The sequence below is a fragment of the Homo sapiens genome, chromosome 7 (assembly GCF_000001405.40).
Source record: "Homo sapiens chromosome 7, GRCh38.p14 Primary Assembly".
Classification (NCBI taxonomy): Eukaryota; Metazoa; Chordata; class Mammalia; order Primates; family Hominidae; genus Homo; species Homo sapiens.
Genome location: NC_000007.14, coordinates 142,306,922 through 142,322,149, shown reverse-complemented (window position 1 = coordinate 142,322,149; position 15,228 = coordinate 142,306,922). Strand labels below are relative to the sequence as shown.

The 15,228-nt window shown below is 44.0% G+C and overlaps 3 gene segments (V, D, J or C) and 1 further gene, besides 9 other annotated features; all 4 read right to left on the bottom strand.

The window, feature by feature from the left end:
• The window catches only part of TRB (T cell receptor beta locus), a 514,277-nt gene that overhangs the window by 491,138 nt on the left and 7,911 nt on the right, over positions 1-15,228 (bottom strand).
• Positions 567-575: a recombination feature (RSS_nonamer).
• Positions 576-598: a recombination feature (RSS_spacer).
• Positions 599-605: a recombination feature (RSS_heptamer).
• Positions 606-1,075, bottom strand: TRBV5-1 (T cell receptor beta variable 5-1). The segment is given in 2 exon segments: positions 606-899; positions 1,027-1,075. Coding segments are annotated over 2 exon segments (343 nt in total), but the record flags the coding sequence as incomplete, so codon positions are not given.
• Positions 8,445-8,453: a recombination feature (RSS_nonamer).
• Positions 8,454-8,476: a recombination feature (RSS_spacer).
• Positions 8,477-8,483: a recombination feature (RSS_heptamer).
• TRBV4-1 (T cell receptor beta variable 4-1) lies at positions 8,484-8,937 on the bottom strand. The segment is given in 2 exon segments: positions 8,484-8,778; positions 8,889-8,937. Coding segments are annotated over 2 exon segments (344 nt in total), but the record flags the coding sequence as incomplete, so codon positions are not given.
• Positions 13,063-13,071: a recombination feature (RSS_nonamer).
• Positions 13,072-13,094: a recombination feature (RSS_spacer).
• Positions 13,095-13,101: a recombination feature (RSS_heptamer).
• TRBV3-1 (T cell receptor beta variable 3-1) lies at positions 13,102-13,561 on the bottom strand. The segment is given in 2 exon segments: positions 13,102-13,396; positions 13,513-13,561. Coding segments are annotated over 2 exon segments (344 nt in total), but the record flags the coding sequence as incomplete, so codon positions are not given.

Here is a 15,228-nt window from a genome sequence, read left to right as displayed (position 1 = left end):
GATGCCTCCGACTGGGACCGGCTACCAGGTGATTCCGGTGGCTATAAGACCTTTCCTTATTTTTTTCTAGGTGTTGAAAACTTTCGGGTGGGGGAAAGAGAGTTCATGGTGCACAGAACACCACTTTTCATCACCTTCTGCTCTATCTCTGTTTTCAATCATCTTTCGTTTTCTCTCTCCTTGACTTTCCCAAAACCTCAATTTCTTCTCCCCAAGTTGTATAAAGCAAACCCTGTGATTCTCCCTTCTACACTACACTGTTATCAACAATCTTGACCACAAAATTAAATCTCTTGTCCTGAGAAAGAGTGCGCCAGCTGTTAAATTACACACATTTCCTCTACTCCTGTAGTTCACAGTGTCGGCAAAGAAGGTAATGCTGCAGTCAACCTACGGAAGCAGCACCATCCTCTGAGCAGGCTCTCTTGGCCTTGTTTTCCCCAGCCAAGTTGCAGAAAGCCCCAGGCTGTGGATCCTAGCATTCTAAATTGCCTTTCTTTCTCCCTGCAGTCCCCAGGTTCTCACAGATATGTCAGGGCTGAGGTTGCTCCACATTGGGCCAGGGAGGTTTGTGCACAGAATGTGGTTGGCTTTGTAGGGCTGTGCCAAGCTGCTGGCGCAAAGATAAAGGGCCGAGTCCCCCAGCTCCAAGGTGCTCACATTCATCTCAGAGCGAGAGTTAGAGAACTGGCGCCCTGAGAATCGACCAGGGAAGTTTCCTTTGTTTCTCTGTGTCTCACTGAAGTATTCAAAGAGGAACTGAAGGCCCTGTCCTGGGGTCTGTTGGTACCAGGATACACTCCTATGCCCAGAGATAGGGGAGCAGCTCAGTGTCACTTGCTGTCCTCTCGTTTTGATCAGATATCTTGGAGTTTGAGTGACTCCAGCCTTTACTGGGCCTGTGGGAAAAGCAGATGGAGAATGAGCACCGGAGACAGCCTGGTGGTGCCTCCCCATGGTAAAGTGGAAGACACAGGGGTGAGGACAGGCTCAGAATGGGGCGCTATCCTGTCTGCAGGGACTCACCTGCTCCCAGGAGACAAAGCAGCACCCAACAGAGCAGCCTGGAGCCCATGGCACAAAGGGGCAGGCAGCACTGTGTCTGTGCTCAGGGCTTGGTCCTCCTGGGAAAGAGCTAAATTCTCAGCCTTGCTTTTCCTGGTGGGAGGGGCATACTGTGATGTCACTGTCCTATGTCCTCCCCTTGCAGGCCTCCTGAGGTCCACTGCTCTCTGTTCTGCACAGCAGAATCCACTGGGCCTGTGAGGGAGGGAGACAGAGGCTAGGGCAAGAACACAGGAGGGAGCCTGAGGGTGCCTTGGATGAGGCGTGCTTCAGAGACATCCCACCTGTGCCAAGGATTCACTTGTTCCCAAGAGACAAAGGTCTTCCCATCAGAGGTACCTGGAGCCCATGGCCAGGTGGGACAGAGCTGGTCAGGTGTCACCCTGTGAGGGATACTGGTCCTCTGAGAGCTGGGGTTTTGGGCATTGCATCTCTGATCAGATGTTAGGCTGTGATATCACTTCTCTGATGTCATCTCTGCGGGTTCCCATGCATCCTGCCTTCCTTGTTAGGCCCCTGGCTTACCCGATCCAGGACCTCTGCTTTGTGCTGTTAATACTCTCACATACCATGTGGGGCTGGACTGAGGTTAGGCTGCATGTCCCCCCCACAGTTCCTTTGCTTTTCCTTCCAGGCAGTTGTTCCTCTATCTGTCCCTGCCCTGGACATGCAGGTTGTCCCATCCCAGCATGGGACATCCCATCTTCATTCTCCCTCTTCGGCTCACAGAGGCTTCCTAACCCAGGCATAGCTGAAGTGCATGGCTCCCTGATGAGAGGCACACCTGCAGTTTTATGTATCCGTCATCACATTTTTTAGTGAGCACAAACATCAAGCAAGGCTGCTCCTTAACCCTCCCTGTCCCAGGCTCCTGGCTCTGTGCATGCCCCAGAGACATTTGGAGCTCAGTGGTTCCACAGCACCCCCATGTGGCCCACTGCGCAGTAACCAAGATTTTGCCATTGTTAGTGGACTGAATATTGATGTCCCTCCAAAATACAACCCCCAGGGAGACAATATTTGACAATAGGGTCTTTATAGAGAAAATTATGTTTACATGAGTTTATAAAAGTGGAGCCCTGATCCAGTATGATTAATGCCCTCTGAGATGAGACACTTGATGGCTAGCTTGTTCTCTCTCCACCATGTGAGGATTCAACTGGAAGAGGGTGCTCTGCAAGCCAAGAGGAGGGCCCTCACCAGAGCCCCACATGCTGGCATCCCCATTTCATGCTCTGGAGTTGTGAAAAAAAAAGATTTGTATTTAACCCATGCAGTCTGTGCTATTTGCTGTGGCTGTCTGAGCTGATGGATACAGCCTTTCTAACATGGTGCAAGAGACATGGGACATATTTAAATTAGGAACAATTTCACCATCTTGACTATTATACTGTTTCTCTAGGGGAACTAAAAGAAACCCCCACATTTTAAAATTTATGTTCTTCAAGATCACTTTTTGCACTGTAAAAGGGAAAAAAGTGATAGAAAAGAAATGTTGCCTTTGAGAAAATGCTGATGAAGGAGATGATGCAAACCTGGCCTAGCTCAGGTAGGTGTGCTGCAGGAAGAACTGTGCCAGAATCACATCAAGTCATCCCGTCTCCCTTGCGGCAGGCAGACTCTCAGGGATTTGTGGATGATTTATTATTAAAGTTCTTTTTTCTGTGATGACTCCAGCCAGCTTGCTCCAAGAAGACCTTTCAGACCACTCTGTGCTACATGCCAACTAATCAGCTTATCCAAAAATAAACAAAACAGTACCCACTGTTCCCATGCTGCTGGGGAATTTGTTTCTTTCCCATCTATACTCTCTCTTTTAGAAATCCTCTTTTTGCCTGAGTTCACTGACAATATCCTCTTGCCCATTTTCCCATATATGAGTAAAGATATGTGCAGAAAATGATTAAATTTCTAAGTTTCTATTTGTGGTTCTATACTTAGTAAGCTAAGAAGGAGAGGCCAGACTGGGTTTAAAAAAGAAACATGAGACTAGGGAAAACAGAATCTGAGAAAGATTCCATTACAGAACCGCTATCCTTCACTTGCTACTTCTGATTTAGTGTATTTCCAATCCAAATTTCTTTAAATATCTACATTTGACATATCTGTTATCAAATTTTAAGAATAGTTACATATATACAGTAAATCTAGATATTGTCATTATGAAATTTCTTGATTTTTAAGTCCAAAGGCAAATGACCCCATGAGAAAGCAATGAGAAGAGATTCCAATCCAGCTGCATGTGACATTAGCGGTCACTAGCCAATGTGCCAGTGAGATATGATCAATGACCAGTACCTCTTCCAAGATGCCATCCAGAGAACAAAAATACCCTACTGAGGGAGTATTCATGGATATAAACCAGTTAAAATTCTCTCAAGATCAGATGGTGGATCAGATGGTGGTGTTCTATAACTTAATACCTTTTATGGATTTTCTGCATACCTCACTCTCCAAATAGAAGAATCAGCTTCTTTCATAATAGAAGCTGATTATCTGATGTGGTTTCTGATCCTAGGGAAGGTAAAGCTACTACACAAAATCATAAAAATATAAACTATCAATAGAAGTCACGTTAAGAAAAACTATGTATTTTTTACTTTTAAAGGAATACCTAAAATAAAATTGCTAGAATACTGGTCAATTCTTTACTAGAAAAAGAAACAAACAGATATTTAGATTGCTTCTGAGATGCCTCATATCCCATGATGAATAGCCATTATATTTCAAAGAAGAGGAGGCTTAGATAATATTATAAAGAAGTGCAAAAGACCAGTGCACTCCATCTGACTCCCCCTAAAATTGCAGACTTGTAGCATCTCCTGGCTCCTTCCTCAGGGGAGCCTGATGAGACAAGAAATAACTAAGAAACCAGAAACAAACTGAAAATCATGAGAATCTTCTGGGAAGACTGAAGCTATTCTGAGCCAGAGAATGAAGAGATGAGTGGTAAGTCCAAGACTGCAGTGAGAAAACAAACCGTGGACATTGGTTAAGCTCTGCCCTGTCTGACTTCCTCCTTGCGTGGAGACAGTCTGATCTCCATTTAAATTTCAGAAATCAATAGGAGGAGCTAAGCACGGTGGCTCATACCTGTATTCTCAGAACTTTGGGAGGTAAAGGCGGGAGGATCACCAGAGCTCAAGAGTTTGAGAGAAACCTGGCAACATAGCAAGACCTCATCTCTACCAAAAATGTAAACAAAAAAGTTAGCCAGTGGTGGTGGTGTGTGCCTGTAGTCACAGCTACTTGGGAGGCTGAGGTGGGAGGATTGCTTGAATCTCAGAGGTTGAGGCTGCAGTGAGCCATGATTGCATCACTGTACTCCAGCTTGGGTGACAGAGTGAGACCCTGTTTCCAAAAAAGAGAAGGTTCCCAGCTACTCAGGAGGCTGAGGCAGGAGAATGGTGTGAACCCGGGAGGCGAAGCTTGCAGTGAGTCGAGATCGCACCACTGCACTCCAGCCTGGGCAACAGAGCAAGACTCTGTCTCAAAAAAAAAAAAAAAAAAAAAAAAAAAGAGAGAGAAGGTTCTGCTACCTCAATTCTTACACAGATAGAAACTTTAGAGGAAAAAATAACCAATGTAACCCCAGAAAATATAACTTGATTAGCAGCAGCTGACCAGTTACCTGGGTTATCATTAAGTGAGGTCAAATAAGCAAAAGAGAAACATAAACATGTCAGATGTTAATCAAATAAACTACAATTAAAGTTAAAATATAAATGGAAATGACAATAAGAAAGAGAGAAGTCTGAGAAGCATGGTCACTGCAGGTCTCAGCAAAAGCTTCCCAGAGAAAAATAGGGAGCTAAGTAGAGAGCATGGCTACCTTGTACCAAGCAAAGGGGCTAAATGATTACCTGGCCCACAGTTGTGCTAATGATTTGAGAAAGTGTGTGGAGTAATTACAGATGACAGAATCTAAGTTGAAAGCACAATATTAGGAAGCTGCATCTTCCATTGGAATGTGCGCTGGGTTTTCCCGCTTACTTCATTTACAGGATTTCAGCCCAAATGAATCCATTTTCACCTCCATGGCCTTGCTCATGTAGTCCCTCTGTAACCACAATCGGGCATTATCATAGAACCCCACTTCTGCCTCTGGCTGAAATCAAGTGTTCCTGACTTGGTGAAGATGTTGCTCACTTTGCCCACCTTCTAAGGCAGGAGGAAACCCTTTCTTCACAGAAACTCCAAAGCCATTAAGCACGGACTTCTTTCTAGAGGTGATTAAATTTCTCTTTATGAGAACTTTTGTTTGTTCCTTCCAGCCTCAGAATTCTGTGAGAGCACCATCATATGAAGGGACATGTAGACAGCACTAGCCCTGTGCAATATACACATAAAACAAGATTTACTGGGGAAAACTCACAAGCAAGAAGCAGAAACACTGACTCAATTATCCACCCCTTCCTTCGTCCATGCAGAGATGTGCTTGGATAGGCATAGCTCCATGCATTGTGGAAAGTCTGCCAAAAGAAGGATCCATCACCATTCTACCATATGTACTATGGAGAGAGTGGGAGGTGCACATTTAAGGTCTACTCATGGTAGAATACATAGCAGGGGTAGCTTCTGGGCTGGCAAATTGTTTCGTGTGATTGGAGATTAGAGGTGTACCCAAGCCAGTGTTGCGAGGGCTAGCTAGAAGCCTTTGCACTCTCTCAATCTGACTGAATTAATTGCCTGCCAAATACTGATAAGGGTGAAGGTAGAGAGACAAAATTAAAGGAGACAGAAGGGTACTCTCATTTCATAGGGGTTGTGCCCAGGTACTACCAAGAAAGTGGAAAGGAAAATTTTCAGACTGAGGAAAAAGTTTCACAATACATATATCAGACTAGAATATTGTATCCAGATTATATAAAGGATTCTATATAATATAAAAATCCTTTATATTTTATAAAGGATTCCTATAAATCAATATAAAAGATATATAATTTAACCTTTAAAACTGGGCAAAAGCATTAATAGGTATATGAAAAAGACATATCTGCAAATGGTAATAAAAACATTAAAATGTCCTCAACATCATTAATCCTTAGAGAAATGCAAATTAGAACTCCAATGAAAGATTAATATTATGCCAATAAATTCAAAAGCAGACAAAATAAACAAATTCCCCAAAAAACACAATTACCCACTCAAAAAGTGGATAACTTGAATGTCCATAGGGATATTAAAAAATACATGTAGAAGTGGTTTTAAAAATTGAACTCATAATAATTAAAAGCATTTCCAGAAAGAAAACTCCAGGCCCAGCTTACTTTATTGATGAAATTGAGCAAGTTTATCAATTTACAAATTGTGAAGAATAAATAGTACTAATATTAACATAGAAGCAAAAATCCTTAACAAAAATAAAGTAAATTTAACTCACAATGTATAAAAAGGTTAATATCTAATCAGTAGATGAGATTTGCCCCAGGAATGCATAATTGGTTTTATATTTAAAAAGCAATTAATGTAAGTCACCTTATTTAAAAATTATTTAATTCGATGCAAAAATTTTTAACAAAATACTGGCAAGCTGTATCCAGCAGCACATCAGAAAGTTTATCTACTGCAATCAAGTAGGCTTCATTCCTGGGATGCAAGGTTGGTTCAACATACACAAATCAACAAATGTGATTCACCACATAGACAGAACTAAAAACAAACCCAGATGATCATCTCAATAAACACAGAAAAGGCTTTTTGACAATCCTATTAAAATCTCTGTAAACCTCTAGCCAGCTTTATGACCCAGGAATGTCTTTCCCAAGACTCTAGGAACCATCTTTTTGAGATACAATCGTCAAGGAAGATAGAGGCCCTGTCTCCCAGTTTTTGTGGGAGAGTAGGAGCCTAATTTAGGATCCTAACTTTACTTAGGCAAAAGCCTAATTTTGACAACTAACTTAAGAGGCTGCTCCCCGCAAGTTGCGAAGCTACCTCATTTCATAAAACTGTGAGAAGAATATCTTCTCTTTTGATACAGCACAGATGACCATATATCTTGGGATAGGGAATCTTTTGTCTCTATAATAAATGAATGAATGAATTAGTGAATGAAAACAGATAAACAGAACAGCCAGGACCCACTCTCCTCTCTAAAAGCTAATGTAGAGCTGCGCTCTGGAGGCATCAGGCTCTGAGCCTGATGATTGAACACATTGGGAATAAAGAGACCAAAGGGGGAAAAATAATCCTTCAAGTGTCAGTCTGGAGAGGCAATCCAGGGAGGCGCTGAGATCTGAAACCAACAAGGAGGCTTCCAGCCAAGAGAAGGAGAGTGGATGAGTCAGGAAACTTCTAGACCATGATCCATGGACTCTGCAGCAAGGGGAGCAGACAGAGGCAAGTTTGCTGCCTGCAGGGTTCAGAGAAGGTGTCTGTGTATATGTGGAGCTTTGATCAGGGCTAGAATTCACAGTCTAGCTTTCAGTGTACAAATGAGAAATTAGAGAATAGACAAGCTGGAATATAGAGTAATAGAACTGGTGAAAATAGATACATATTTCTCAAACATATTTCCCAAAGGGTGAGTCTACTACTGTCCTCTCTAGCTGGCTTCTGCACTGGGACCCTTGCCTGGAAGTTCCTTCTCTGATTTCCCAGTGCTCAGTGTTGCTTGACTCTGCATGACAACAACCTATGATGAAAGGGAACCCTTGGCCCCAAAGAAGAGTCATGGAAACCACTGGACATGAAGTGTCAGGAGAACACAGCTCCTCACAGGACAGTGTCTGACCCAGTGCAGGGTGTGCCTCTGTGGTGACACAGGTGATTGTTTAGAGGGTTCTTATAAAATTTTAAGCTACACAATCCTTACAGCATGCTTGCTTTATTTCAGGAATTTTTTTTTTTTTTTGAGACAGAATCTCACTCTGTCGCCCAGGTTGGAGTGCAATGTCACGGTCTCGGCTCACCGCAACCTCCACCTCCCGAGTTCAAGTGATTCTCCTGCCTCCTGAGTAGCTGGGATTACAGGCATATGCCACCACACCCAGCTGATTTTTGTATTTTTAGTAGAGACGGGGTTTCACCATGTTGGCCAGGCTGGTCTCAAACTCCTGACCTCATGATCCGCTCGTCTTGGCCTCCCAAAGTGCTGGGATTACAAGCATGAGCCGCCATGCCCGGCCTATTACATGATTAAAAAAATTTTTTTTTTTAAACTAGATCTGAATATGTTTCTCTTTTTTCAAATCAGTTGACGGGGCAGTCACACTCAGGCGAAAGGAAACCCACACTCTAAATATGTCATAGGATGTAAAGTTGCCACATGGATGAATTAGCAGGTGCTATGATGTTCTGAAGCTTCTTCGGGGCTCTTGGAGGAAATGTTCACCCGAGCCCTCCGTGGCCCCCACGGCTTCCTGGCAGGCCCCGAAGGTTTCTGCACAGGAAAGCGGTGACTCTGCAAGGCTGTGTCTTGGCTGCTGGCGCAGAGATACAGGGCTGAGTCTTCTGGCTGCAGGGCGTGTAGGTGAAGGTTTAAGAGAGAGCTGTTGGGGCATTCAGGTGAGAAGCGACTTGGCACACTTTCATTTATAGAGAGTTTCTCATAGCTGTAGACAAACATGAGCTCCGGTGGCTTCTTAGCTTTCTGCTTGTACCAATACATAGCCCTGTGCCCCATATGTTGTTCACATTTCAAAGACTTCTTATTTGTCATTCCCATGACCAGGTGTTTTGGTGTCTGGGTAACTTCAGTGTCTATGGGAACTGTAGGAGGAAAGGGACAAAATTCAGGCAGAGCCCAGGAAGAGGGTTGTTCCTGCAGCCACAAGGAAAAGGGTTGGAGTCCAAGGACAGACAATTTCAACCTAACTCACCTGCTCCCAGGAGACAGAGAACCGCACAGCAGAGCAGCCTGCAGCCCATGCTAGCCTCGGGTCTGAGATGGGGCCTCTGACTGGGGTCCTTTGGGCGAGGTGCTGGGCTCTGGTCTCCTTGGCCCTGCTTGGTGGTTTTTCTTGTGATGTCACTGCTCCTGATAGTTTCCCCAGACCCAGGGGATGTTTCTTCCTGACTGCTTTACATCCTTTCTAAGTTCTGATAGAAGGTAGATTTGAATTTGCTGGGCTAGGATGAATCGGCTGGGGAGAAAGGGCAGAGCCGGCTTTTTACCCCCCAAGGATATTCCTCTGGCAGGGGCTCCTTTGCTCTCAGCTGCTTCCTAATTATGTGGATCCTCCCTCTATCTTTGTCTCCCTGTCTTTCAGGATCCCTCTCAACAACAGACCACTCCCATTCAAGAAATCTCCTTCTGTCCTGCGGGATCACATAAAACAGTGCCATTCAAAACGTCCCTTCCCTCAATGTCTAAGTGTGGTGGAGCCCTTTCTGCCCGGCTCTGTGGAGGGAGGGTGACTGCATGAACACGGATGCAGTGTGCACCAGCTCCCATCATTCAAGGGCATGACTGTGTTGCCAACCAGCCACCAGGCACTGGGGAGGGAGCTGAGGGAGCACAAAAGGGATGAGCCACCCTCTGTCCCTGAAGTGGAGGGCATGGGGCTTGGCTGGGCTTAGAGCTAACATACACAGGATGCTGAAAAAGAACAACACAAGGTGTGTGGAGCAAAGGAAAGGGAAATCAGCTTGAAGCTGATGTTAGTGTGCTTGAGCTGAGTACAGCCATGCTCTCAGTTGAGGTACGGTTGGCTCCCCATGGGCAAGATCCCTCCTGGCCCATCTCTCCTCTTATTCTCTATCCCTTCCCCAGGTCCCTGCCTTAGAGGTTTCACCAGAGCACAGCTCCTGCCTGTGGCCAAAACAGTATTTGGCCACTCACCGACCCAGTGTCAGCATCCAGATGGGTTCCACATCTCACAACCCTGAGCAGCAGAGAAGGGTTTGAAAGGCCAGGGGAGAATGAAGACGAAGGAGGTGTTGGCAACAACACAGAGAGTCAGCAGCCAGAACGCCAGGTATCCACACACATAAGACATTCTAAATTTTTACTCAACAGAAATTGTCTATGTCTGTGTCTGGGCACCATGGCAACACCTTATCTCTACAAAAATTAGCGGAATGTAGTGGTGCCTGTGTGTAGTCCCAGCTATTCAAGAGGCTGAAGTGGGAGGATTGCTTGAGCCATGGAAGTCAAGGCTGTAGTGAGCCATGATTGTGTCACTGCACTCCAGACAGAGCAAGACCCTGCTCCCACCACACCCCTCAAAAGAAAAAAAAAAAAGGAAAAGAAATGAAATGAAATGAAATAAAGAAAAGAAAAAAGAACAGAAAATTGTCTATGCCTGGATCTCTAGTAATGTGCAGAACAGACAGTATCCCAGCCCTCTTGAGTTCTTGGGCCAGTCTGACTTGTTCAACAAATACTCCTTGAGCAACAGCTAGGAGCAAGCAGAAAATCACCAACATTTTCACCCCCAGAATTCTATTTGTGTAAGGCAATTCAACATATTCAGAAAACAACTAGAGAATAAAAATATATCTTACATAAAGTTTGAGAAATGTAATCAGTATGTCATTGTTCAATCACTTCATATATGTGATGCCATATTTCCTCATATATTAAATCAGGAGAACTGAAATGAGATGATCTCTAAAGCCCTGCCATTTCTAAGATGTTAGAAACCACATTAGTTCATCAGTTCTGTGGAGAACTTTCCAACTAGGAACCAGCTGGATGACTTCCTATGGGTCTTCTGTACTTCACTGCATAAGCTATTTATGCTTTGTGACCAGTTAAGAATTGGAATATCATCAATTTTCTTAAAAGGTACTTTTATGCCAATATTGGCTTTTCATTCTAGAGCATTTGGAGATACAAATGAACACAAATAAACACAAAAATGAGATGATTCATACTTTCAAAGTGATTTTTACCATCTATTTATTGTTGTATTACATCAGTGTTACCTTTTCATGATGATAATTATAATTGTAGGCATGAGATTAGGGTCGTAAATCTATGTTATATGTAAATCTACATGGGGCTGAGGGAAGATACTTATCCATGATTTAAGTCAAGGATTTATAATTTAGATTTGTTTTAACCTGGGGATGTTCTCAGTCAGGAGGAAAATTGTAGCATTCTTCTAATGCAAAAATTTCATCAGATTTTCAATGTGGCCCATAAAACAAACAAACAAAAAATGTAAAGCATGTAGATTAGAATTTAATGGGGTTGAGTATTCTCCCCCTCAACAGGTTACATATAGGATCGATCTCTATCCTGCTACAGTTGGAGATATTCTATTCACTAGACAAAAACCTAAAATTAGCCTTATTTTAAACACTAGTATTATTACCATTAAAATTGTTTCCATTGGTATCTACTTCAGCAAGAAAACACTTTGGCCCTTCTACAAAGTAGAACAAATTTGAACGAATAAAATTTTATTGCATTGTTTGGCTCTCAATAAGTAAACCAAATTGCAAAGACAATTTAAAAAAAGCAATAGAATTTAAACTGAAAACTTGAATAATGGTGAAAGCGAAAGGTTTAATTGTCCTGAGGACAACAGCTAACATAAGCATTTCCCACAACAAGGGGTGGTGACCAGCGAGTTCAAGTGGTCTGAATTAGGGATGGATCTAAGAAGGAAAATGATCTCAGGACCATGTGAATTGCAAGAAGAGTGAAGAGTGGAATGGTAAATATGAAGAAAAGCCAAGTAAACATATTTATATAAAATAGAAGTAGTATATGTGATTGAAGATAAGAGGACATAACTGACTCCAAGACAGCTGGGATTTAGGACACAGAGTACTACCAAGGAGCCCTGAGAACCTGTGTAAGAAAATCTTTTTTCATTTTTTATTTTTCTTTCTGGGCCAGGTCCTAAGTTGTGTATGCAGAGGGTGGCACTCCCGAAGGCCCAGCAGAGAACAAACTCTGGAAGGCTGTAGACACGGGCAGGGATTTCAGAGGATACCCAGGGCAGGAAGGCAATGGCATTCAGACCCAGTGAGAGTGGAGAGTCGTGGTGGGTGACTGTGATTCCCACTAAGACCCTGGAAAGGCCATGCACTAGCAATGATGACCACATGCTGGGGCTCCCTAAGAGGGAGGGCAAGGCTGAAATAGACCCTAGCAAGTCCTACATTCAACCCTCCCAGAATAAAACCCAATACATTTCCAAGAAATAACATAATGCAGAGCCTCAAGCCTATATTGTCCACAATGCTTCACATCAACCCTTTCTAATCTTTCATGTAGGATATTTAGAAGTCTCCTAATCATTCATGCCACCCAAAAATCTATCTCCTTTCTGATCCATACTACTACCAGTGTTCCTCTACCAAAATATCAGTTTCATCATGTTGTTTCACTTGGAGTAGGACCAATGGCTCACCACTGCCTAGAGATTTGTGTCCAAAGTCCTTTCAGGTCTCCCAATATCCCCAGTCATCTGGCTATTGCCTGCTCTTGAGGACAGTTCAAGATGATATTCATCAGAATTGGGAGAGACACTTGCTGGTCACCCTTCTTGAAGAGAAGGAGCCCACAACGCACAAGGCTACCTCCACCGGCATCTCCTCAACACTTTCCAGTTTACCTATTGCCATGGAATTTCATGCCTCTCCAAATATTTTTCTGTTGAATAAAGTACTCACTGATCATCAGAATTGTCTCTTGATCTTGGAAATATTTCCTTCCCCCTCCTTTATGCTTGTGCTCATCAACCATTTTCAGCAATCGTGTTTTTTTCATAATGTTATATAAAATACGTACCAATATGTGCCACACAGAAAGAAAAGAAAGAGCTTCCCCCATCAGTTAAGATCATCAGTGCATAGGACAGGCTCTTTTTTGTTTGTGGAGCCCTAATACTTTAGTGGCTTTGTTGTGAAGCCCTGCTCTAGCTGATAAACAATTCTGTGAGACTTTTGTGTGCATAAGATGGAGGACTTCTCCACTGGGTGCACTAGCTGGCTGTACTACAGACTGAAACTCCATCAGAGGCCATCAGGGAATGGAGACTGGAGCCCTGGGTGCAGGTGCACACGCTGCCCTGCAGCTTCCTGGCTGAGCCGGGAGGTTTGTGCACAGGGATGCAGTGACTTTGCAGGGCTGTGTCTTGGCTGCTGGCACAGAAATACACAGCAGAGTCACCAAGCTCCAGGGAATTGATGTGAAGATTTAAGTGAGCTTTGTCTGGAGATTTAGGTGAGAAGCGATTTGGAACTGTTTCATTTATAATGAGCTCCTTATTATTGTAGCTAAACATTATCTTCAGAAATTTCTTAGAGTCCTGTTTATACCAATACATAGTATCATGGCCCAGATTTTGTTCACATTTAATGGACTTGTCGTTTCCCATCTGTGTGACCAGGTATTTTGGAGTCTGGGAAACAGCTGTGTCCAAGGGACCTGCAAAGGAAAGAAGCAGAATTCAGGCAAATCCTAGGAGACGGCCTGCTGTTGTTGTCATGGTGAAAAGGCTTAGGGACTCCAATAGGATCATGTCACCTGGGCCCGGGACTCACCTGCTTGGAGGAGGCAGAAGACCACACAGCAGAGGAGCCTGCAGCCCATGGCAGAGTGAGGCAGACCAGGCAAGGCCCAGGGCAGGATTCTGGTCTGCAGTGGTGAGAGGACTAGGCTGTGGTTTCCACTGCCGCTGAGAGGTGCTGCGCCAGTGAGGTCACAGCCTGTAATCATTCCCCCATTCCCAGGGTCTCCTCTAGCATGGCTCCTCCCTTTCATGCCCTGCACTTGCTCCTTTAAAGGAGTTTTTGGAATTTCTGGGAATAATTGAGAGGGTGGAATTGTGACCTCCAGGATGTGTCTCTGACAGTCATTCCTGGGCCAGCAGCCCCCTCCCTCCCTGCTCCTTCCCGGGGATCTGACCACCTCCTCCCTTCCTCTCCTTTTCAGGCCCTTCTCTCAGAGTCAGCTGGTTTCCTCTCTGGATCCTTTGCGTCCCTTCACAATAGCGCAGGACATTAATTTGCTCTCTTGAATCTTTGCTCACTTGAAGGTCTCATTAATGATCAGTGGTCCCCTTGATTCAGGAGAGATTGGCCTGAGATTTCACCTGAATACCAGCCATAGCCACCTACTCCACATGACTGTGATGCTACTGCAGAGCAAACCCTGCTGAGGCGTTATTATTGGGAGTGAACTGCAGCCCTGCTCCCTGTGATGTTCTTATCTGTCCAAGGGGCAGATTTATGAGGAAACAGGAGGCTGCTGGAAAATATGCAGACACCATGTGCTGGGAAAGAATGGCGATGAAGGTCAACAACGCGGCAGTCAGAGAAAACAAAAGTAGTTGACGGTATTGCCCCTTGAGTTGTCTGCAGAGAATTCTCCTTCTTGGTACAAAGTTTACAACCGAAGCTTATTGCGGGGTTTCTCAATTTCAGCACTACTGCCATGTTGGATCAGGTGATTGTTTGTTGTGGGGAGCTGTCCTGTGTAGGGAGGATGCTTGGCGGCATCCTTGGGCCCTACCCACCTGATGGCAATGTGACGACAGAAAATGCCTTCGCGTTTTGTGAATTATCTAATGTTGAGGACCACAGTCCCCTTTATTCTTGCCCATGGTACTCCTCTCCTCTGCCAGCCATCAACCACCCAACCTCGGGGGTGTGGCAGGGCTGCAGCTCCTCCTGCTCTGGTCAGCAAGGTCCAGCACTCAGACCTCAGTGCCTCAGTCAATGGCCCCAGGGCAGGAACCTCCAGGAGGAAAAGCAGAGACCAGCACTGCCAGAAAGGTATCACACACACACACACACACACACACACACACACTTTGGTAGTGTTGTCATCTACTGGTGAATCCCCTGCAAAGACAGACCTTGATGGTTCATTTGTGATTTACTAAACACAGAACTTGAACTAAACAAAAGAAAAATGACCACCATCCTTCTTGGAACTTCAAGCATGCTTTATTTGTTTATAGTCACTGAATGGCTACTTAGTGCAAAGCATGAGTAAACAATATTCTCACTCTCATGATGCTTATAATCCAATAGGAGCAAAAACACATTCACACATTACTTGTAGACTAAGAATATGAAATACATATTACATGGAGGCCAGCAAAATAGTTACTATTTACATTTAAATACTTTTTTTAAAGCATCCCATTTCCTGATCTATGAAACAATGGGCAGAAATAAATAATTTTCAACACTCTGTCTAGCTCTACAATTCTGTGAACATAACCAGGTACCCCCGTAGTTGTGGGTCTTATT